Source organism: Homo sapiens, chromosome 3 (assembly GCF_000001405.40).
Source record: "Homo sapiens chromosome 3, GRCh38.p14 Primary Assembly".
NCBI lineage: Eukaryota > Metazoa > Chordata > Mammalia > Primates > Hominidae > Homo > Homo sapiens.
This window is the reverse complement of record NC_000003.12, coordinates 89438562-89464489: the sequence shown is the minus strand read 5'-3', so window position 1 is coordinate 89464489 and position 25928 is coordinate 89438562. Positions and strand designations below refer to the sequence as shown.

At 35.9% G+C, this 25928-nt stretch overlaps 1 protein-coding gene across 4 annotated transcripts in view; it reads right to left on the bottom strand.

Annotated features, from left to right (window-relative positions):
- EPHA3 (EPH receptor A3) overlaps nt 1-25928 on the bottom strand; it is a 374514-nt gene that overhangs the window by 17645 nt on the left and 330941 nt on the right. For all 4 annotated transcript variants that reach the window (NM_005233.6, NM_001410778.1, XM_005264715.4 and 1 more), the window contains exons 14-15: nt 15116-15265; nt 14120-14313 (exon numbers count right to left, since the gene is read on the bottom strand). In NM_005233.6, the coding sequence (NP_005224.2) occupies nt 14120-14313; nt 15116-15265 (344 nt within the window). The remainder of the gene's footprint in view (nt 1-14119; nt 14314-15115; nt 15266-25928) is intronic.

Below are 25928 nucleotides of genomic sequence, written 5' to 3'. Positions count from 1 at the left end.
TCCTCAGTGACCTACAAAGAGACTTAGACTCCCACACATTAATAATGGGAGACTTTAACACCCCACTGTCAACATTAGACAGATCAACGAGACAGAAAGTCAACAAGGATACCCAGGAATTGAACTCAGCTCTGCACCAAGCAGACCTAATAGACATCTACAGAACTCTCCACCCCAAATCAACAGAATATACATTTTTTTCAGCACCACACCACACCTATTCCAAAATTGACCACATAGTTGGAAGTAAAGCTCTCCTCAGCAAATGTAAAAGAACAGAAATTATAACAAACTATCTCTCAGACCACAGTGCAATCAAACTAGAACTCAGGATTAAGAATCTCACTCAAAGCCGCTCAACTACATGGAAACTGAACAACCTGCTCCTGAATGACTACTGGGTACATAACGAAATGAAGGCAGAAATAAAGATGTTCTTTGAAACCAACGAGAACAAAGACACCACATACCAGAATCTCTGGGACACATTCAAAGCAGTGTGTAGAGGGAAATTTATAGCACTAAATGCCTACAAGAGAAAGCAGGAAAGATCCAAAATTGACACCCTAACATCACAATTAAAAGAACTAGAAAAGCAAGAGCAAACACATTCAAAAGCTAGCAGAAGGCAAGAAATAACTAAAATCAGAGCAGAACTGAAGGAAATAGAGACACAAAAAACCCTTCAAAAAATCAATGAATCCAGGAGCTGGTTTTTTGAAAGGATCAACAAAATTGATAGACCGCTAGCAAGACTAATAAAGAAAAAAAGAGAGAAGAATCAAATAGACACAATAAAAAATGATAAAGGGGATATCACCACCGATCCCACAGAAATACAAACTACCATCAGAGAATACTACAAACACCTCTACGCAAATAAACTAGAAAATCTAGAAGAAATGGATACATTCCTCGACACATACACTCTCCCAAGACTAAACCAGGAAGAAGTTGAATCTCTGAATCGACCAATAACAGGCTCTGAAATTGTGGCAATAATCAATAGTTTACCAACCAAAAAGAGTCCAGGACCAGATGGATTCACAGCCGAATTCTACCAGAGGTACAAGGAGGAACTGGTACCATTCCTTCTGAAACTATTCCAATCAATAGAAAAAGAGGGAATCCTCCCTAACTCATTTTATGAGGCCAGCATCATTCTGATACCAAAGCCGGGCAGAGACACAACCAAAAAAGAGAATTTTAGACCAATATCCTTGATGAACATTGATGCAAAAATCCTCAATAAAATACTGGCAAACCGAATCCAGCAGCACATCAAAAAGCTTATCCACCATGATCAAGTGGGCTTCATCCCTGGGATGCAAGGCTGGTTCAATATACGCAAATCAATAAATGTAATCCAGCATATAAATAGAGCCAAAGACAAAAACCACATGATTATCTCAATAGATGCAGAAAAAGCCTTTGACAAAATTCAACAACCCTTCATGCTAAAAACTCTCAATAAATTAGGTATTGATGGGACGTATTTCAAAATAATAAGAGCTATCTATGACAAACCCACAGCCAATATCATACTGAATGGGCAAAAACTGGAAGCATTCCCTTTGAAAACCGGCACAAGACAGGGATGCCCTCTCTCACCGCTCCTATTCAACATAGTGTTGGAAGTTCTGGCCAGGGCAATCAGGCAGGAGAAGGAAATAAAGGGTATTCAATTAGGAAAAGAGGAAGTCAAATTGTCCCTGTTTGCAGACGACATGATTGTTTATCTAGAAAACCCCATCGTCTCAGCCCAAAATCTCCTTAAGCTGATAAGCAACTTCAGCAAAGTCTCAGGATACAAAATCAATGTACAAAAATCACAAGCATTCTTATACACCAACAACAGACAAACAGAGAGCCAAATCATGGGTGAACTCCCATTCACAATTGCTTCAAAGAGAATAAAATACCTAGGAATCCAACTTACAAGGGATGTGAAGGACCTCTTCAAGGAGAACTACAAACCACTGCTCAAGGAAATAAAAGAGGAGACAAACAAATGGAAGAACATTCCATGCTCATGGGTAGGAAGAATCAATATCGTGAAAATGGCCATACTGCCCAAGGTAATTTACAGATTCAATGCCATCCCCATCAAGCTACCAATGACTTTCTTCACAGAATTGGAAAAAACTACTTTAAAGTTCATATGGAACCAAAAAAGAGCCCGCATTGCCAAGTCAATCCTAAGCCAAAAGAACAAAGCTGGAGGCATCACACTACCTGACTTCAAACTATACTCCAAGGCTACAGTAACCAAAACAGCATGGTACTGGTACCAAAACAGAGATATAGATCAATGGAACAGAACAGAGCCCTCAGAAATAATGCCGCATATCTACAACTATCTGATCTTTGACAAACCTGAGAAAAACAAGCAATGGGGAAAGGATTCCTTATTTAATAAATGGTGCTGGGAAAACTGGCTAGCCATATGTAGAAAGCTGAAACTGGATCCCTTCCTTACACCTTATACAAAAATCAATTCAAGATGGATTAAAGATTTAAACGTTAAACCTAAAACCATAAAAACCCTAGAAGAAAACCTAGGCATTACCATTCAGGACATAGGCGTGGGCAAGGACTTCATGTCCAAAACACCAAAAGCAATGGCAACAAAAGACAAAATTGACAAATGGGATCTAATTAAACTAAAGAGCTTCTGCACAGCAAAAGAAACTACCATCAGAGTGAACAGGCAACCTACAACATGGGAGAAAATTTTTGCAACCTACTCATCTGACAAAGGGCTAATATCCAGAATCTACAATGAACTCAAACAAATTTACAAGAAAAAAACAAACAACCCCATCAAAAAGTGGGTGAAGGACATGAACAGACACTTCTCAAAAGAAGACATTTATGCAGCCAAAAAACACATGAAGAAATGCTCATCATCACTGGCCATCAGAGAAATGCAAATCAAAACCACTATGAGATATCATCTCACACCAGTTAGAATGGCAATCATTAAAAAGTCAGGAAACAACAGGTGCTGGAGAGGATGCGGAGAAATAGGAACACTTTTACACTGTTGGTGGGACTGTAAACTAGTTCAACCATTGTGGAAGTCAGTGTGGCGATTCCTCAGGGATCTAGAACTAGAAATACCATTTGACCCAGCCATCCCATTACTGGGTATATACCCAAATGAGTATAAATCATGCTGCTATAAAGACACATGCACACGTATGTTTATTGCGGCACTATTCTCAATAGCAAAGACTTGGAACCAACCCAAATGTCCAACAATGATAGACTGGATTAAGAAAATGTGGCACATATACACCATGGAATACTATGCAGCCATAAAAAATGATGAGTTCATATCCTTTGTAGGGACATGGATGAAATTGGAAACCATCATTCTCAGTAAACTATCGCAAGAATAAAAAACCAAACACCGCATATTCTCACTCATAGGTGGGAATTGAACAATGAGATCACATGGACACAGGAAGGGGAATATCACACTCTGGGGACTGTGGTGGGGTCGGGGGAGGGGGGAGGGATAGCATTGGGAGATATACCTAATGCTAGATGACACATTAGTGGGTGCAGCGCACCAGCATGGCACATGTATACATATGTAACTAACCTGCACAATGTGCACATGTACCCTAAAACTTAGAGTATAATAAAAAAAAAAAAAAAGAGAGACAGAGAGATCACTTGGGTATTCGGCATATTCGATTCCCTCTAAAAGGTTCTGTATCATATTTATTCACTGAGCAAAGTCACCCTGTCAGTTTCAGAATTTGAGGTCAAAGTCATTTTGAGAAATAAAGGCAGATTGTCTTTTGGTTGTTCGATTTGTCTTGAAGGATATGGTATTTGTCAAAACAGCAGTTATTCTCAAAAAGAATTCTATTATGTACTCTTAGAGATCAGAAGCTTTTTACTAATACTTGTTTATTTTCATTAACTGGGGAAAATATGAGTATTGTTTATTTTTACTCCTTTCTATGCTGCAAGTTAATAAAAATAAATCCCTTCAAAGTTAGTGATCAATGCAATGAAACAATATATTTAAAAACATTTCAATTAAATTAACTAAATATAATTGGGTCTGCAGAACCTTGTTCTAAATATTATTAAATATATTGCTTAAGTCTGTGTCATGAATTGTGTTGCCTTCCATTTAAAACCTCGTTCTAAATATTTTGAATGTATTATCTAATTTTTTTGTGTCAAGAATTTGAATTTTATCAATTTACAACAGTATAGAAGAATTCAATACCTGGCTAGTGGAAATTCTGTGAACTTAAGAAGAAATTATTTCTCTATTTCATTTTACACACATATGCACACACATACATCTCTTCAAAATTAATATTGTCAATAATAAAAATCTCATATCTTCAAAAATAAAAAGGGTATCTTACTACTTGAATAGAAACACATTCTCATTTTTCTGTTATTAGTCAATTTTTAATTTAGCTTCAGTTATAAAATAAGTGAATAAATTTATTTAAATCTAGAAGTTATATTATAATCTTTCAAAATATGTTTTTAAAAAATAAATGTGTATTTCTCTTATATGTACAAAACAATGTGTTGGGAAGTTAAAGAATATTTTTATTTTAAGACTATTTTCTATTTATTTTCATGGTGGCATTTTCTATCAAGAACAATCTTTAAAAAACATCCCTTTGGGCTGGATGTGGTGGCTTAAGCCTGAATTCTCAGCAATTTGAAAGGCCAAGGCAAGTGGATCACCTGAGGTCAGGAGTTCGAGACCAGCCTGGTCAACACGGTGAAACCCCATCTCCACTAAGAATACAAACATTAGTCAGGCATGGTGGGGAGTGCCTATAATTCCAGATACTCAGGAGGCTGAGGCAGGAGAATCGCCTGAACCCAGGAGGCGGAGGATGGCACCATTGCATGCCAGCCCGGGCGACAAGAGTGAAACACTGTCAAGAAAGAAAGAAAGGAAGAAAGGAAGGAACGAAGGAAGGAAGGAAGGAAGGAAGGAAGGAAGGAGAGAAGGAAGGAGAGAAGGAAGGAGAGAAAGAAGGGAAGAAAGAAAGAGAAAGAAAGAAAGAAAGAGTAAGAAAAAGAGGAAGAGAAAGAGAAGAAAGAAGAAACATTTCTTTGATTCTTATAAAAAAAGAGAGGAGAGCTTCTTTTGTTTTCATTCTTTTATGCACATCTTCTTGTTTTGCCTTGCCTTTTCATTATCCAATTTTATAATTAGGTCTCTCACAATGTAATATATATTATTCCAAAATTCAGAATAGTTTTCTTAATACCTCAATGTTCCTTCTATCTTTTTTAAAATTTTACCTTAAGTTCTGGGGTACATGTGTTGAACCTGCAGGTTTGTTACATAGGTATACATGTGACTTGGTGGTTTGCTGCACCTATCAACACATCATCTAGGTTTTAAGCTCCACATGCATTAGGTATTTGTCAGAATGCTATCCTTTCCCTTTCCCTTCACCCTCCAATAGGCCCTGGTGTGTGATGTTCCTCTCCCTGAGTCCATGCGTTCTCATTGTTCAACTCCCACTTATGAGTGAGAACATGCAGTGTTTGGTTTTCTGTTCCTGTGTTAGTTTGCTGAGAATGATGGTCTCCAGCTTCATCCACGTCCCTGCAAAGGACATGAACTCATTCTTTTTATGGCTGCATAGTATTCCATGGTGTATATGTGCTACGTTTTCTTTATTCAGTCTATCATTGATGGGCATTTGGGTTGGTTCCAAGTTTTTGCTATTGTAAATAGTCCTGCAACAAACATACGTGTGCACGCCAGTTAGAATGGCGATCATTAAAAAGTCTAGAAACAACAGATGCCAGCGAAGATGCAGAGAAATAGGAATGCTTTTACACTGTTGGTGGGCGTGTAAATTAGTTCAACCATTATAGAAGAGAGTGTGGCGATTCCACAAAGACATAGAACCAGAAATACCATTTGACCCAGCAATCCCATTACTGGGTATATACCCAATGGATTATAAATCCTTCTATTATTTAACTGGAAGTCTATTCCCTCAGTTTTTGTTTTTCTTTCCCTTTTTCAGCTTTTGTTAATACCGTTTGAATCTACTTTTTGGAAATGCCTTGCACTGTGGTTTTCTGCAGTAGTCTAAACCTCATCCTATCACCCTGATTGTTCCTCGTTTCTACCTACCATTTCACATTCTTCTGTGATATAACTGGCACTGCTCTCCAAAGCTCAAAATAAAGGGAATTTTCTTTCTCTCTTGGTGGCAGTCAACGTAGTGAGTTAATATTCTGAGATATTAGTGAATGTTTCGTATTTGTTTTCCTTCTTGTATTGCCATTTCCTGTCACTGATTGGCTCCACAGCCCCCTTACAAGGTGCCTAAAATCTGGATTGGCTGCCACTACACCTTGTTACATACAATGGAAACAGGAGGCATTCAAACATTTAAATTAGTTTCTTGACTGTTGCCAAGAATGCTTATCTGCATGGCAGACCTGTTCTTCCTTCTGTTCTTCCTACCACTGTCAATGAGAAGGCTGATCTCAAAGGCTCCACATTCAGAACCTGGAAGTATTCTCTGATACTTTCTCTGTCACTCTGCACATCTCAGTCACTATGTCCTATAGAACTCACTTTAATAAAACATATTGAATTCACACACTGTCTACTTTCCCTGCTCTAGCATAGCAGATCCTTTTCTTAGACTATTGAAAGCTTAATTCTCTCGTATGAATCCCTTCATCTCCAGCCCTTTTTAGAAGTAGCTGCCAAAGAACTATTCCCTAAACACAGTGCAACATATCACTTCAGTAACTTCAGTGTCTCCCCTTTCCTTATGGATAAAAGCCCAAATGTCTAGAAATGACATTTAGTCTTCCATCACCTGACGAATCATCTATCGCAGCGGTCCCCAACCTGTTTGGCACCAGGGGCCAGTTTCATGGAAGACAATTTTTCCACGAATGGGGGTGTGGTGGGGGATGGTTTCAGTATGAAACTGTTCTGCCTCAGATCATCAGGCATTAGATTATCATGAGGAGCGCATAACCTAGACTCCTCGTGTGTGCGGTTCACAACAGGGTTTGCTCTCCTATGATAATCTAATGCCCCTGCTGATCTGCAGTAAGTAGAGCTCAGGCGGTAATGCTCACCAGCCCGCCGTTTGCCTTCTGCTTTGCCACCTGGTTCGTAACAGGCCATGGCCTGGAAGCAGTCCATGGCACGGGGGCTGAGGATCCCTGATCTATCAGGCTTTTTCCCCATAATTTCCTTTTTTTATCCTATAGTCTAGCAAAACCGTATTATGCGATGTGATTTGGAAGTATCCTACCTATTTGCATGTCTTCCCTTTTCTGTAGTGTTCCCCCAGCCTGTTTTCCTGTTACCTACCTGTAGAAATTTCAATTTCATCCACTATCCAAAAGTCCCTTTTGCATACAAATACCAGAAAACTCCAAATATAAAAGTAAACTCACCTCCCCTCGGGATTCCCGAACTCCTTTTATTTTTGCTCTAATAATTACATGTTCTGAGGGGTATTATAGTGTTCTAAATATTCTTTTTTCTTCCACATTTAAACGTAAGCTGTTGAGGATGGAAGCTACATCTGGTACCTATATAATCATCACAGGACCTAACATAATGTCTCACACACGGTTATTGTTGAATAAACATCTGTAGCCTTGTACTGATGTACTATCAAAACTTAAAACCCTCACATCTCCTCTGATTTACTCTACTTTTAGAAAAAGCAATCAATTACTAGGGAACAAGCATAACACAAAGTTTAATGTAACTGTCCTTCCCTTATTATGATTCTTTGCAGCATCTAAGTAATTGTTTGATCTGGCCCACCCTGACCATCAGCTTTTCCACCTTCCCCACTTCCAGTGACGATATTCATGGAGACACTCTAAGCGGAAGATTCTTTGAGAATGGTACTGCTATAAATCATCAACTCTAATGAAGGCTGAAAAGTGAAATGATGCATTATAAAAAGACTTCTATTGCGGTATATGCAACAACGTTTTTAAATTCAAACAATTAGTTTCAAAAGGTACTTAGCCACCAAGAAAAAAATAAAATTTGACCATAAAATGTACTAAATCCAGAAAGACTGAAGAAACATCATTTCTATCAGAATGATGTTGTTTTTCTTAAAAGACACTACAGGGTACGTGTATAAACACAGTTCTATGCACTGATCTGAATAACTACACCATTCAGAAACTTGAATGCTTTGTACCAGCCACGAATTCAGTTTTGAAGTCTCCTATTAAATTTTTAGGAGTGTATTTCTGGAGTTGAGTTGACAGAAAGGTACACATGCAGAATTTTGCTTAGGAGAACAGGTCTAGGCTTTTACCATATGATCAATGTCTATTAAAAAAATCTGTTCAGAGAGCAGAAAAACACTGGAATTTTTTCTATAAATTGCATCTTTTGAAATGTAAATTTACTAATGATGTCAGCACATATTTATTAGGTATTTAGGAGACATTTACAGAGCACCCATTATCAATCTGCACTGGTAATACGAGAGAAGCATGGTGTGTGCTCTCACAGGGCTTAGAGTTTATTGAGAAAATGGATAGTTAAAAAGAATACACAGACACAATCACAGAAAACAGAATTAAAATAGTGATGAAGAACGAGAATATGGTGCTCTGTAAAAGAATAATGATGTTAAACTTTATTTCACTGGTGCTGCCACAGAATGAGTCAACACATACATGATGTGTAAGTTGCTTCCTTAAGGAAGAAAGGTGCAAAGGAGAATCTGAGACAAGGCAAACAGCATGTGCTACAATCTTCTGAAATGCTTTTGTTTTCTGAAGGAACTAGAAGTAGCCACTGAGGTTAGAGTATTGTTTAGATGAAGGTGGCACAAGTCGAAAGGTTAAAATGACCCCCACCTCCTCATACTTTTGCTCCTCCCTCTACAAAGCAGTCATATAAATCAAATCATCTTACTTCTCTGGTTCAGATGCCTAATGAATTCCTCATGCATTTGAAAAATATTTCAAAGTCCTCACCATGGCCTGTGTAGCCTCAAGTGCTCTGGCTTCTGTTTACCTCCTTAGGTTCATGACAGACTCCCTTCAGTCATATTATTCTCTGCCACTTCCTAGAACTCTCCAAACCCTTTCTCATCTCAAGACTTTTGCATTTTTTAATCCTGTGCCAAGAATATTCTTTTTGGTGAGGAGGAGGTTACACAGCTGGCTCATTCCCTTCCTGCAGGTCTCAAACATCAGCTCCTCAGACTCTTTCGCAGCTATTCCTTTATCGCCCATCACGGCCATTTACTTATTTCCTTCCTCTGGTCTGTACTTGTCTGTTGTTTACAAGAGTGGCAGAAAACACCATTTATTTTAAAATACACAATTAAGGTATTATTGACTATAGTCATCTCATTGTATTATATAAAAATAGTTTTCGAATAAAATTTATTTGAATAAGATAATAACATTGGAGAAGCAAGACTTTTCAAAATTTTCTTTTTTAATTAATTTATAATTTTTTTCAAGAGACAGTGTCTTGCTCTGTCACCCAGGCTGAGTGCAGTGTTGTTACCATTGCTCACTGTAACCTCAAACTCCTGGACTTAAGCAATCCTTCTGCTACAGCCTCCTGAGTAGCTAGGACCACTGGCAAACACCACCATGCCTGGCCCATTTAAAAAAAAATTTGTAGGGATGGGGGTCTTGCTATAACACCCAAACTGGTCTCCAACTCCTGGCCACAAGTTATCCTCCAGCCCCAGTCTCCTGAATAGCTGGTATTGCAGTTTTGAGTCACTCCACCCAGTCAGCAGGGCTTTTTAAACAACCAAAAGGAGATTTTTTTATAAGTGTAACGTGAATTCAATATTGATTATAAACAGGTGACTGAAACTATATCATATATGTTTTGATAAGAAGATTCTGGAGGCTGTGCAAAAAAAATGTTTGGAGTTTGAAAGCAATCAAAGCAGGGGACAAGTTAGGAGCCTATTGCAGTGGTCCAGGTCAGAAGACGAAACAGCCATGAGGAGAGTGTTTTCAGTGAAAAGGGATAGAGATAGATCTCATTGATCCAGATGATCACAGTGTAGAGGGGAAGAAAGAGGTACCAAGAGTTGCTCTAATTCCTGGTTAGGTGAATGGGTAGCTGCTGGTGTATGCAATTAATTAGGCAGTGGAAGGATCAGGCTAGGGGGAGAAAATTGATAAATTTTCAGAATATTGACTTTATGTCTGTGAGTCCATTATTTGAGAAGTTTGGCTGTGAAGAGTGTTAGAGAAGTAGGGAAGTAGTTGGCAGAGATGTGGGGCCAGCAGGGGTAATATTGACAAGCAATATCACCTAAATTTTCCAGAGGAGAAAAAAATCACCTGGCATTTTTATAAAACATCCAAACTCCATTCTCTTTTCCTGGAGATTCTTGGGATAGACCTGGATATTTGTATGTGTAATAGGTTCCCCTGGTGATAAGAATAAGATAATGAGAAAGAATATAATAGAACATCTGTTTGTGGCAATGATCCTACAGAAAAAAAGAGCCTGGATATGCAGAAGAGAGAGAGGGAGACAGGGAGAGAGGAAGAGTAGAGGATTAGCCTCTGACAAATAGAGGGACACTGCCTTTTATAATTAGAGGAAAGAAGGACGATATGGGTAGGTGCAGGTGCCACTACATTTCTGTTTTGCTGTGGGAAGTTCCCATCTAATGGCTTATTTTCTCAATAAAGCATTTGGCAAGGACATCACTAAAAATTAAAGAAGGAGGTCATTTTAATCAGTTATGAAAAGGATGAAATAATCATTGTCAAAAGTAGGAAAGCAAATTTTCTAAAGAGAAAAAAACTTCTTGACATAGTTGCATATAGTAATGTGAGGTTGTTAAAAATAAATGTATTATGACAAAATCTAACCCATCGTGCATTTTAATGGTAATAAGTAAAAATATAAATATAATTGCCCAAATGTTTATATTCTGTACATTGAGATGGTTGTCTTTTCATAGAAAATATTGATTTTTTTCTAAAATTATGTTTTATGACAAAATACATCAAATTAGTTCATGTATTAAAGAAAAATATATAAGAAAAAGTATTTGATATATTTCAATAAGAGTGGAAAAGTGAATTATGAAAGTATGTTAAAATTTGGATGCTAGGACATAGCCTCACATATTATGATCTGATAGTAAGACTACTTTTCTCTGTGAAACTGGTATTAGATACCCCTACATTACATTACATTACATGAGTTAGCTTTGAAAATGGTTTGAATGTTTTTATGATAGGTAAAGTCTTTTTTTTTCTGTGATTACTATCTATGCTGTAAAGATCAAAATAAATGCCTTCAGGGTACAGAATGAGGACCATATGGCCCAGGAAAGGACAGGTTTGTTATCCTGTTAGTTGTTAAACTGTCAGGTGAATTTCTAAGAGTCTATACAGTCTCTGTGAAGTTTGGGATAGATATTTATCCTTATGGAATAAGTTATGGGTAGTTTTATTTAAGGACTTATTACTAAATTCAATCATAGTGATTCCTACTAAGTGTTATTATCAATAAATAATCTATGATTCTTATATACTGATATTAAGATCTTGTTTATGATTCTCCTACTTAACTTATTAAACTATTATGTAAAAAACAGGTAATGTGCATTTAATATAATCAACACAAAATGGATAAACTGAAGACCTAATACTGTAAAGCTTCTAGCAGGAAATACAGGAAGAAAGCTCTATGACACTGGTCTTGGTAACAATTTTGTAGAGATGACACCAAAATCATAGGAACAAAAGCCAAATTAAACAGGAGGGATTATATCAAATTAAAAATTTTCTGCACAGTAAAGAAAACAAGAAAATGAAAGGCAATCCACAGAAGAAGAGAAAATATTTACAGTCAATATATCTCATAGGTGGCTAATATCCAAAATATATAAGGAACTCATAGAATTTGATAGCAAAAATAATAATACCCCTATTAAAAATGGGCAAAGGACCTGAATAGACATTTTTTTCTGAGGAAGACAAATGGCCAACAGGTTTATGTAAAGGTACTCAACATCGCTAGTCATTAGAGAAATGAAAATCAAAACCACAATGAGCTAGAACCTCACACTTGTTAGGATGGCTATTATCAAAAAGTCAAAAGATAACAACTGTTAGTGAAGATGTGGAGAAAGGGAACATTGGCATGTAAGGGAATGTAAATTGGAACAGCCATATGGAAAAATGTATGGAGGTTCCACAAAAAACTAAAAATAGAATCACCATATGATCCAGCAATCCCACTCTGGGTATATAGCCAAAGGAAATGAAGTCAGTATTTCAAAGAGATATCTATATTCCCATGTTCATTGCAGCATTATTCACAATAGCCAAGATATGAAATCAACATAGGTATCCACTGACAGAAGAATGGATAAAAAACGTTTATATGTTAAAATTTTGCTATTTTATTCCCTGTGGATTTCAGGGGCATTGATTTTAGACATCTTAAAATATTGTTTTAAATATGATTGATTTTTTTCACAAAAATATGATACTAAGGCATGGTTAATCAAACTTGTAATGTACCTACATATTCACTCACCAACACACACACACACAAACACACACACACACACACACACACACGCCCTGCTTGATCTTCAAACAGATAACTTAAGACAAAATGCAAGGAATTTCCCATGCATTGAACGCCAGCTTTAGTCACTAAGCTTTGTAGCAATGGAAACAACAGGGCGGGATACTATTATTGAGACCCAAAACTAACACAGTTGAGAAGCGATATTGAGAAGCAACTGGTTATGCAAAGAAGGCAGAATGACCCACAAGTCATCGTTACTGATAAAACTCCATTGTACCAATCAAGATACTATTGAACTCACAAGTCCAAGCCATTGAGTAGGCACATAGCTAGAGGTCCCAAATAGGTCTGAAATGCTTCTCTCTATAGTTGTCAAGAGGAATGTTTCAAAAGTATAAAACATGTACTAACTCATGTGATAAATCAGAGAGAAAAATTAAAAGCCTGTAAGAGAATGCATTATCAAAATGTAAAAGAACCTTTTTTTCTTATGCTTACAATGAGAATCAAAATTATTAAACAAGATATCTTTGCCTTTAATTACTCTGAGAGGCACCAAATATATTAATATTTATTTTCTTCTTATATGGCCCCTGACAAAATTCATCTCTTCTTCCTTCTTTTTTCCACTGTACTTTGTAGATACACTTTAATTTACATTGTTCTAACCACTGAGAGAACTCAGTGATTCTTAACCTAAAAGAATATGCATAAAATTAAATAGACTTTGTGCATCCAGGATTGCATTACAGCTGCAGAGTATTAACATTTGTGTTGTTGTCCAGGGACACTGGCTTTATCTTACTCTTAGTTTTATCTTCAATGGTGTCTAGCAAAGTAATTGATACGCAATATAGACTAGACAAATATTTGTTTAATTAACTGGGGAAAATTTGCATTTTGCTAGCCAGTGCAATATTTTGGATAATTTCTTTTTCTTTATTTTGAATGAAAGATGAATCAGGACTTCTTTATTCATGAAGGGTGAAAAGAAGTATGTGTTCAGTATATTTATTTATTTAGAGAGAGAGTCTCGCTCTGTTGACCAGGCTGGAGTGCAGTGGCATGATATCAGCTCGTTGCAACCTCTGCCTCCCAGGTTCACAGATTCTCCTGCCTCAGCCTCCCGAGTAGCTAGGATTACAGGTGCCTGCCACCACACCAGGCTAATTTTTGTATTTTTAGTAGAAACGGCATTTCACTATGTTGGCCAGGCTGGTCTCGAACTCCTGACCTCAAGTGATCCACCAAAGTGCTTGGATTACAGGCACGAGCCACCGCACCCCTCCAGTATTCCTATTTCCCAAAGACTTAAACAAGCCTGAATGTAGAGTCAAGATAGATGTTAAAAAATATCTCAGAATTTCATCATTACTATTAAGGAGGACGAGAATTAGTTCTAAAGATTAAAAAAGAAAGGGGAAATACATCTCTCTAATATGGTGGAATACAAGCTTCAAATAATGCATTTTGGGGGTGGGCTAAAAAAATTAACATCTTGGAGATAGCAAACACAAATTTCAGAGTGAATGCCAGATAACAAATTGAATGTGTCACCTTGCGGCTGCACTGGTGATGATCTTCAGGCTGCCGGGATTCCGGATAAGCTTGTCCAGAATACTAACAATCTGCTCAAACTTGGGTCTGTTGTTCCTGTCTTTCTGCCAGCAGTCCAGCATCAGCTGATACAAGGCAGCTGGGCAGTCCATGGGGGGTGGCAGTCGATAGCCCTCATCTACAGCTTTAATTACCTGTGTGAGAAGCAAAGTTTTCAGGAACCAGGAAGTTTTCAGGAAGTGTCACTTAGTTTACGTTTTCATGGGCGGGGCTCACAAATATGCTTATTTTAAAGGTAAGTGGGAAAACTTCTCATTTTTAGTTGCCTAAAAGGATAACAACTGATCAAATAAATAAGACGTTATGTATGCCTAAAATATTATATAAAGGAAGATTGAAATAACATAAATTTAGGAAAGAGTATGTAAAGATCCTTTTTGGGTTAAAATAAAAAGAAATGTTAAATGATAGAGCAAATTTGGTGTTATAAAGAAATTATTATTTGGTTATATAGTTCTCTATGGAAAACATATATGAATGAATATGGACAAAATTACTATACAGGTTTTAGTTATACTGCAGTTCAAATGGTGCCTTCCAAATTATAGTAATTTTTTTTGTAAAATCCTAAGTGCTGTAAAATTAAGTAACTATTAGTTCATTAGTACTTTTCAATGGTGTAAAGCAGTGACTTTCAAACTTCAATGTGCATTAGAATCTAGAGGTTATCTTATTGGTCACTTTTTTCATTACGTTTTCACTACAAATGTTTCTTTTGTCTTATTTCTAAACCCTTGCTTGAGGGAAATATGTAAATCTGTAAGAACAATTCAATTAATATAATATCCTTGCAAGACTTGGAAACAGTTTCATTGCTGCTAAATATTTTATTTCAGTGTTATAAACCAGGAGCCACCCAGTTACATTATGTTCCACTTCCTTGCACAGCTTGATCTTTTCATCTGAACTCATAACTCATAGACCACAAATACTTACATCCTGATTGGACATCTCCCAGTATGGTCTCTCTCCATAAGACATCACCTCCCAGAGAACAATCCCATAACTCCATACATCGCTGGCTGACGTGAACTTGCGGTAGGCTATAGCTTCTGGTGATGTCCACCTGATTGGGATCTTCCCTCCCTTTGAATATAAAATCATGTCTACATAAATCAGCAATGCATAGAACATATAATATACATAACATAATCTGAAACCGGACAGAATTTCTCATAGTATTTCTGTTCTGAAATGGAATATGCATTTCTGTGAAACATTTTGATGTTATTCTATTTCAATACCAAGCAGAAGTAGCATACCATTTACAGCAAATTTTACTTCCAAATAATTTGGAAGGATTTTGAAATTATATATAAAAAAGAAAATTGCTTAAATATTGACATTTTATATCAACTATGGCAGGTTAATTAATCATCTGCAACAAAACAACCTGAAGCAGATGTGACATGACATGTATTAGAATTAAAAGAGGTATCACAAATCAACTTTTATTGATTTAACCTAGATTTATGCTTGACCAAGCAATCGAAGTTCAGAATGTGAATAAGTCAGTATTTGTAAAGAACTTAGACCACTCCCTGGCACATAAGTACTTACAGGTGTTTGTTACCTAAATAAACTCAAAATAAAATTATATTTTAAAAAACTCTCTTCAACACAATAATCATCTTGATTAATTTACTGTGTGCTTCATCATTAGTCATTGAAGTGTCTTCTGGATAGTAGGCAAGCACCATATAAATTAGATAGACATAATAATTACATTCCCAGAACTTATAATTTAGAGGAAAATAATATTGCTTTTATAAGTTATGGGAGATATAAAAGTGTAATGTCTATGGAATTTGCTCTTAGTTCAATAAATACATTTAATAAAGATGTACTGATTGTCAACCATATAGGAAGTATTATGCTAGTTAATTTGGGTGAAACTGATAAATAACATACTGGCTCTTTTGTTTCGTAAGTGTCAGGCAAACAGGAGTAATAATGAGTTACTCTGAAAAACTAGATACAGAACGAAATAGGTATCTAGCACATTGCTTTTCAAACTTTATAATGCATATAAATCATATACAGCTTACTCCCAGTAAAATGAAAATTTTGATTCAGGAGGTTGAGTGTGTAGCCAGTGTCTGCATTTCCAACAATCTCCATGTGATGCTGGTCCATGGAACTTACCCTGAGTAGAAAGACAGTAGTGAAAGCCACCGTAATGTGGAACGTGGAGCCAAGATTCTCACTAGAGAGACTGAGGAGGGCACTTATGAATTAAGTGACCTCAATTTCAAGTGAAGTCACTTGAAAGATAAGTACAATATTTGATATAAGAAAAAAGGGATGGATATTTCAAAGAAAGAACTCACATCCTCAAAATCTTAAGCCGTGTTCGTCAAAATGTGACCGATTTCTATCGGACCTCATAGCATGCCACTGGATTTGAAGTGATGCTCAAGGGGGCAATATAGTGCTTTACACAAATGGATTAGCAATTTAGGGGACAAGTTTCTAAGCCTTGTTGTGCAGGACTGTCCTCATCTGTTATTGAGAATGTAATAGTCCTGGTTCAGAGTATTTATGTGGGACTAAACGACAAATTTCAGTAAAATATTTAGTCTTCTTCCTAGGACATAGTAAGGACTCAATAAATGTTAGCTCAATACTCTCATATTCTGAGCAAATGGCATAAATCAAAGCACAGAGGAGAAAACTGTATGTTCTAGAAGAACAGTTTCCTGTGTGAAGAAATATAATGGAAGAGGAAGCTAAAATGTCAAATTTTTATTTAATCACAGATGCACTTGGGAAACTTTATCCTGGCTAGGAGAGTGATAAGATTGGAACTAACTCAGTAAAACTGAGCACTTCTCCTTGGTGTTTTGGCACAAATGAGCTGTTCAGGGAGAGTACTGCCAGAAGCTCTTTGAAAAGGTAGAGCTTACACAGTCATGAAGAATGCAAGAAACAGTGCAGAGAATTGAGGAAATGGAAAAACACCATCAGCAGGAAGAATAAGCCTGCAAAGACACACAGTGAGCGCAACCTTCCTAAGAAGCTACCAGGTGAAGAATAGTTGACAGTTTCTACTGATGAAGTAAAACAAATGAAATTGGAGAGACCGGAGCCAGAGAAAAGATAGCCTCGGAAGTTAGGGAGATAAACTACAGTGTGCAACGTGCACTAAAACTCCCAAAGCACTCATCTACATATGCCTAGATCAAGTTTATGTTTTTATAATTCAAAATTTCAAATACTACCCCTTGACATCGACAAAAGTGGACTTAGACATGTGGCATTGAACAGAATCTACTCAGGATGCCAAATGGAATCATTGGGCCTACTTTCTCCTTCTTAAGAACTCAGAGAATTAACAAAAGTCAAACAGAGCTGTATTCATAGGACAAGGGAGGTACAGTATCTTAAAAATCTCAATTAAATATCTTAGGTCTGTTATAGACACTTGTCATTTTTCTAACTGCCTTTGCTACTTCTCTTTTTCCAGAACCAAATTACTGAAAGCGTATAAGTATACTTTCAGTATTACTGAAGGTATATAAGTATACTTATACTGAAAGGATCATGTCAGTATACTTTCAGTAATACTGAAATTGTGAAGTGTACTTAAATGGCACTAAAAAAAAGAAAAAAGAAAAAAAAAAGCCCTTTCTATGCTGAAAACTTTGTACCTATTTAGAAAATATTAGGCCCAGATATTTGTTGCCTTACCATGGTCTCTAGTTGAAATTAAAATAGAGTCATAAGAAAAAAACAATAGGTTGATGACAGCCATGAAAGAGAAGTGTATTTATTTGGTTAATTCAATCAGGGTTAAAAAGAAACACAGAAGAGTTGTTTCATTTTAAGTGTTTCTTCACCATTTTCCAGAGAGAAGAGCATTGAGATTAATAGAATTTCTTAAAATAATGATATACTGAAAGGTGATCATTTTTAGGAAGAACAGAGCCATATTTCTGCTTAAGCTTGGAAGGAGAATCCTCTTTTGCTCTGTTGTAAATACAGACATAATAATGTTGGAGAGGTATCTGCTGTGGTCGCATGATCATATCTTCAAGGAAAGCTTCACTCACCTGAATCTCTTAACTTGCCTGGGACTTATACAGTATGTTCTCTAATGAAATACATGGTTACAGATTCAAGCAAATTATTTCCAGAATATTTCCCAATTACATGTGGTCTATTTGTGTAACCTGTGTAAATCTTATTAAAATGCTTAAAATTTAAACAAATGGGATGCATGTTTGGAAAAATGTATAGTAATTTATTTTAATAAGAAAAACTTAAATTTTCAATTCTGCTCTTCTGGTTGTGTTTTGTAATTGTTGTAGCCTGCACACACACACACACATATTATTGTTAGAATGACAACTTTAAACCTTTCAATGTAACATACTTGCTGATCAGGTGACCTTTATACTATCTTTACCTTCGTACTAATTTTTAACAAAATATTCTGGCTCTTAGCTCACTGTGGTACCTTGGAAAAGTATCTTGGCCACATTGTGCAGTAGATACCTGTGAAATGGCAAAGGCCTCTTGCTACAAGTTTTGCTAGCTTTGGAAATGTAGGTATGGTCTTTTCACTTGTGTCATTCAGGTTTTTGATTTACACTTTTCCTTTTTGTCTCTTAACTATATCAAGGGTTCAGTTGCTGCCCTTGTGGGAAAGCATAAGGAAGTGGGGCAATCTCATTTATTTTCATTTTATTTTGGACATGTTATTACAAACACTCAAAAATTAAGTGGCATTCAATCAGTTCAACAATGAAACCAGGGTGCAGTGCTTTAAATGTTTCCGTAATTTATCCAGATACTACTATTGATCAACTTTTGGTGTACCAGTTCTTTTCCTCGCTGGCCAGATTCTGTCCCAGGTCACAGTTAATTGAGCTTATATACTTAGAAGTAAACATATTTATTTTTATTTTTAATGAAAAACTCTTAATTTATATTTTTATATATGATATCCAAACAACTCAGTCTAAAAGAAGAGCTGGGGCTAATTTAAACTCTTTCTTTAGAAGAAGATGTGAATAAGTGATTTGCTTTGCCCAATTTTAGTGTTGAAGTCCATAGACAGTTAGGTCTGGAATGCGGTGGTGCAGTGCGTTCTCGGCTCACTGCAACCTCCCCCTCTCAGGCTCAAGCAATTCTTGTGCCTCAGCCTCCTTAGTAGCTGGGATTAGAGGTGTGCGCCACCAAGCCTGGCTAATATTTGGATTTTTGATAGAGACAAGGTTTTGCCATGTTGGTCAGGCTAGTCTCTAACTCTTGGCCTCAAGTCATTTTCCCACCTCCACCTACCAAAGTGCTGGTGTTACACAGGTGTGAGCCATCGCACCTGGCCAAGAGTTAGCTGTTTAGCCCAGAATGTATTCAATATTCATGAAACATTTAGCCTTTTCATTAGAGAATTTCCATTATCTGCTAATAGGTAGCTTATTAGACGGATTAGTTTAGCTCCAATAATGAAATAATCACAGATTCAAGACTCTTATCTCTTTTCTATCTAACCATATTGTAAATGATGCCATCCATCATTGAGGGAAACAGGAAGAGAATAAAGATGATTGAGAATTATATATTATTATTTAGAAAATTTTGTCATTTGTCATGAATTTATAATATATATAAAGCCATTTAAAAAGTGTCTGCTCCTTAATAGAGCATTCAATAAATGTTATGCCTGTTCCTTCCTTTCAATTCCCTTTAATTGTTACATTTACTGTCAATATAACAAATTTATTAAAAGATGCTACAAGGGAAAGCTCACTGTTAACTACAAAGTACAATTCAAATTTAGCAATTAATACTAAATCAGATAAAAAGAAATTTTTAAAAATTATCTTATTCTATGGCAAGCAAATAATATCAAATTGCTCTGGCTTTAAAAATAAAAGAATAATAAACCAACATTGTACACATTTAATTTGAAGTAAAAAAAAAAATCAAACTACAGGTGAAATTTCAAACGAGCAAAATTATTATGGAATTTAAGAAAAGATAGATACATACATTCTCATAAACTCTTTAAATTCTTCATTGTAGTTTCAAACTCTTTATGTTCTACACTAGTAAAAGTAGTAGCAGTAGTGCCTGTCATATCAATTGCAACAAATAAAAATAGTAAACCCGAACCATTATTTCAAATCATAAGCTTATGAAAAACTGAATAGATTATAAAGCTGAAGATAAGGAGTATTAACTCACATGAAACTATGTTCTCCATAAACAATACACATTCACTACAGAGAGCAGTTTTCTTGCTCTCTGTAGTATTATCTTGGTATTATCTTGGCAAATGTGCAGTGCAGGCATTCAACAGATGCTCACTGATCTTAATTGAATTCCCCCTGTGAGCATGCTATCTTCCCAAATACATGGTCTTTCTTTTTGGGAGGCTTTTTTTCCTTTTTTCTGTAACTGGGTAAAGTTCTTATCTGAACATCTTGGTCAAATGTAAACTCTTTGGGTGAACATTTAGGAGTCTTCCAGCAAGAGTTGGTCATTCCATCCTCTGTGATCTTTCTACTGCTTTATTATCCTGCCTAATCTGGGATGTCCAGAGGAATAACCACCTGGCCCCCTTCACCACTGTATTCCCCCAGTTTAAAGTATGTCTTATTTTCTACCTCTGCTGTTTACAAAACTTTGTTGCTTGCAAAAAAGCACGTTGTTCTGTCAAGTGAGAATAATGATTTATTTTGTGGACCTGGGAAAGTAGATTTTTCTAAAGATTTCTGATAATTTTGTGCATTTTAAAGGTGCAGTTCATTTTCAGTTGATAATGAGTTAAATCTAGTTTTTCATAATATATGTGAATGTGAATGAGCCAATATAAACATAATAGTTTATTTTCTTAAATCATACTGCTTTCTAATGTCCTCTTTTTTCTTATGCTACTATTTAATAGTGTTGTTACATTAATACATTTTAAGAACTCCACAACGATAGTTAGTATAAGATTCACTGAGCATCAACTTTTTTAGAGTATCTGTAGAATTACAAAAATATGTCACAGGATGTTGTATGGATTATGTGTTTTAGAGTTCGTAGAATGCTATAAAGATTTTCATTTGACTCCATAAACAATACACATTCTACATCAACTGCTTCAATATTAATGTTGTAGCTACTTCACCAACCTAAAAATACAATTAATTAAAAAATAATTTTAGTCTACACACATGGACGTTACCCCTTTGTAGAATGAGGCTAAGTAAAATGTTAAAACATTAAAAAAATTACACAAGGGTAAGACTTATATACTGACTAAAATATCTGATATATTTATCTTCTAGAGATATACATCTATGTATGATTTTACTCCATGATGTCTTAATAAAATGAAAATAGAACATCACAACTAAAGTGGCTATGTTTGAAATTTAGAGCCTGGGGTGGAGGGTGGTAAGTAATTTAAGTGTTTAATTGAAACCAAATGAAAATGAAATTTTAACAGGCACACAAGACTTATGATTTGTTGCATTATGTTTGTGATAGCTTGAAGTTTCACATTCTAGGAGGCCTGATAACAGATGGCTAGTCTGTTGCACATTTTTTCACAAATGGTGTAGTCTATATTGTCCCATGCATCTTGCAGTCCAATATGGACAGGAAAAAATAGAAAGTACCTGAGAGAAACATTTGATCCCCACTCCCATTCTTTGCACATGATGGGAACCTTGTAGGCAAGGTTTCTCTAGAAGGGCACTGTTGACCTTTCACCCGAGATCATTCTTTGCTGTGACGGCTGTCCTGTGCGTTGTAGGATATCTAGCAGCACTTCTGCCGCTGTCATCTAGATTACATTAGCATCTCCCCAGTTGTGACAGCCAAAAATGCCTCTAGACAATACCAAGTATCTTCTGGGGAACAAAATCATCCCCATTTGCGAACTACTGCTTTAAATGTTGTACAATCATCAAGGGAAAGTAATCCACATGAGGTCTACAAATTATGTGGGATTTTATATTGACTAAGTGAAATCAACTTTCTAGGGATATTTTATACCCCTGTCACAGGCTATACCTTTACTAATAGAAAAACAGGGGTCAAGTTCACCAGAGCCAATCTCCTAATACTTGGGTTTTGATGATGTAATAATATCCCTTCTGGAATTTTTTTATGTTTTATTTTATTTTCTCCTTTCTTCTTTTTTCCTATCTTCCTTCCTTTTCTTTTTCTTTTTTAGGATAACTTCCTGTTAATTTAAGTTTGCTAGTAAAACTTAAATTAACTTTATAAATTAAGCATCAATTTTTTTATTAAATGGAGGTATAAGTAACCAAGCATTTTAGTAAGATACAAGTGCTTGCTCCAACAGCAAACACTGTCTACAGCTACAAAAACGTAAACATTATTGGCATAGAGAGACACGAATAAGAGTCCTTGAGGGCCCAATTTGGTTCTGAAATATGGTTAAAAGAAGAAGCTGGGGCAATAAATTTTAACTGAGTCACACTTTACAATAAGACTTGCTGCATTTAAGCTGAGGATCTGTAGTTCTGAGACTATCAAACTAAAATAAATTGAATATATAGGAGTCTAAGTTTCCTACAAGTAATTCATCACAGAGCGTATGCATATTTCTGTTCTTGATTGTGACCACAAAAATTCCTCTTCCCTTCTCACCTCCCACCTTAACAAATTCAAGCTCATATTGCATGAGTGTTATTTTTTTCTGGTTTAGAAATTGCTTTCCTAGCTTATATATGTGAAGGACATTTTTAAAATGTAGATGCTTTAGAGGGATGTGCCACACTAGGCATTTAGAATATTATAAAAGCTCAGCTAGTCACTATAACAATTATTTATGAAGATGTGTTTTTTAACCATATTTAAACATTTAAAATGAAGCATTTACTTTTACTGGTCTCTATATCCTAATGTAAGCTCCCAAGATATATTTATGTATTTCAGAAAAGCTTCCAGTTGCTTGGAGCAAGCCCAGAATCATAGCATATGGAGTGTATCTAAAACCTCAATTTCAGAAAGACTTCCAATTCAAACTTAACAGAATCAGAAGCTAATGTTTGCTCCTTACATCTCCAGTGCCAAACCTTCAGCCAGTTCCTCCAAGTGCTGACTTCTCATCTATGTATAGCTAAATAACTGGAGGTACAGGGTAAGTTTAGTCATTTGCTCCATTTGGATTCTGAAGTTTAATAAGAATCAGGAGTCTTGGTTTCTGGCCTCAGTTTTGACCTTCCTGTTTAATTTTAGCCAGGTGTCTTAACCTCTCTGCACAGCTGTCTTGTCATTCAAAAACAGGGTCATGGACTATATAAAATTTGACTTTACATTCAGTTTTATCTAACAGCTTAACAGCTTTGCTGACTTATGACCATAGCTCTTTGAACTTTCTATCTTAAACCTACATGAGTATCAAGGATGCTGACATTTTCAATGTTAATTATTTTGGACTCTTAAAGAAAGACTAACTTTGGAATAAATTGCATATCCACATGGGTGTCACCTCGATTTACGTCTATAGAGTTTTACAGAAAAGGTAAAGGAGATGAATAAAGTGCTACAGGTAAAGATGCTAGTGATTCTCTGGAAAAAGGCACTACATAACTGCTAAACTCCACTCCAGGATTAGTTGAGAGTCTAAAACCTTGTCCACTTTGCCTAGATACAGCAGTTAGATGAGGAATCACACGGTAACCCTGTTCTTGAAAGATTCTGCAATTCAGTTCCCTAAGCTCGATGAATTTAGACAGTTCAATGAGACATGTGGCTAAAAGCCTGAATTTTTCAGGAGCTTAACTGAAGTCAGCTCATGCGGTATGGGTTACGGGGCTTCAAGTTCTGATTTCTAAAGAGAAGGAGTGTAATTGCTGAAATTTCTGGGTATTGAGGCATAATATCACATAGCTGCCAAATGTTTCTGTAATTATATGTACAAATCTCTGCCTGCCAATTTAGGAAAGGTTTGCTGGTTATAATTCACATTTCCTGTTTTTGAGCTTTGTCAGGTCATATTTAGAGTGACAAAGGACTTTGGAGAGTTTATCTGAGTAAACCCAAGTAATTGAGTATTTAACCTGGAGGGAAATATTAGCTTCTCAGGTTAAAAGTGGAACTATAGAGATAAATTATTTGGCTAAAAGATTTAGCATCTATGTATTGTCAAGGACTAAAATTCATTCACTGCAGACAACAAGGTGAAGGGTGATCCAAGAAGGCTCCCAAAGGAAGCATCTAGTCTTATCCCCAGCAGTTCAAATCTCAGCGCCACTGAGAGAATAGTTTCAGCAAATGTTGATTGCCACAAGAGATCAGAGATAAATGATCCTTTAGGTAGCAAAACCTCATTCTTCGAACTTTTGAGATCTTTCAACATCATGTGAAATGATTAAGCATTACTTGAAATACAGGAAAATCTCCATATTCCAAATTATTATAATGGCTAACCAGGAAATAAAAAACAAACTCATAATGCTTATGTTACTTTCGGACTCTCATGAAACAGTGTAAAAACTAAGTAATCTGATGTATGATATCTATCTTCTACAAAAATAATGCAAACATCGGGGAGTAAGTCTATATACATACATACATATATATATGTGTGTGTGTGTGTGTGTGTGTGTGTGTGTGCCTTAATATGAGTCTGGCTTTTTTAAAAGTTCAATGAGGTTTTAAATGTCAAATTTTGTATTTTTTATATATATTCAATCTCCAGTTTTTAAAATCTCTAATTTTTAAAAGTTATAGTGATTCATTTCAAAGTCTGAAATTGTAGCACTCTGAACACAATTTTTTGAAGAAGCGATGGTAAATTAGTAGAAACGTAGCAGGGGATACTGACAATTTGCAATTGAAATGATAGAAATAATACTAAATTCATTCTAATAATTGTTTTGAGATAAAATCTCACTCTGTTGCCCCAGCCTAAAGTGCAATGGCATAATCAAGGCTCACTGCAGCCCTGACCTCCTGGGCTCAAGCGACCCTCCCACGTCAGCCTCCTGAGTAGCTGGGACTAAAGGCATGCATCACCAATAGAAAAAGAGGACTAGTTACTATTAGCTTGACATTTAGTCTGAGCTAAATAATTAATCTAATGACTTACATTGTCTTCCTGCAAGGTGGGCCTCTTGGAATCAGTGCAATTATTAAAATTATTCTATTCAATTGAAAATTAGTGAAAGCAAAATTAATGTTTCTTTAGCCTCAGTATTTGCTCCTTCATTCAAACCCATTTTCTGCTCTAGTGTCATTTTACCAATTTCTCTGACGATCCTATATAAAATTGCATTCTCTACAGACTGCCTGCATTCCTCATTTTACTTTTCTGCCTTTACTTGTGTGCTCCTGTGTTCCACTTCACAATTATAGTTGTAATTTTTCACCACATAAACCTGGATAGTTGTTTTTTACATGTTTAAATGTTCATGCTACTCATCTCTCTGAAATAGATGGGTAGAAAGTACTAGACTTTTCATTAAGTGTCGATTCAACATTAATTATTAAAATCACTGAACCTTTGAGAGTTTTCTAGTTATTGAATAAGTGGCTGTATTTTCTGATGCTACATGCAGGCATATTCATATTGATCATAAGGGGAGGCAATAAATTCGTAGTTGACTTTTTTTGGTTCACAGTTTAAAATACTGTTACTATATGAAGGACACAAATTAGATATTTTGTTATTACCTTTTTCATTTAGGTATAAATGACATGCGACATATATTACTTATCAAATTAATATGTGTCTTTTGTATTATACCAATTTTGATAAGCATGGTTTTTTTGGTTC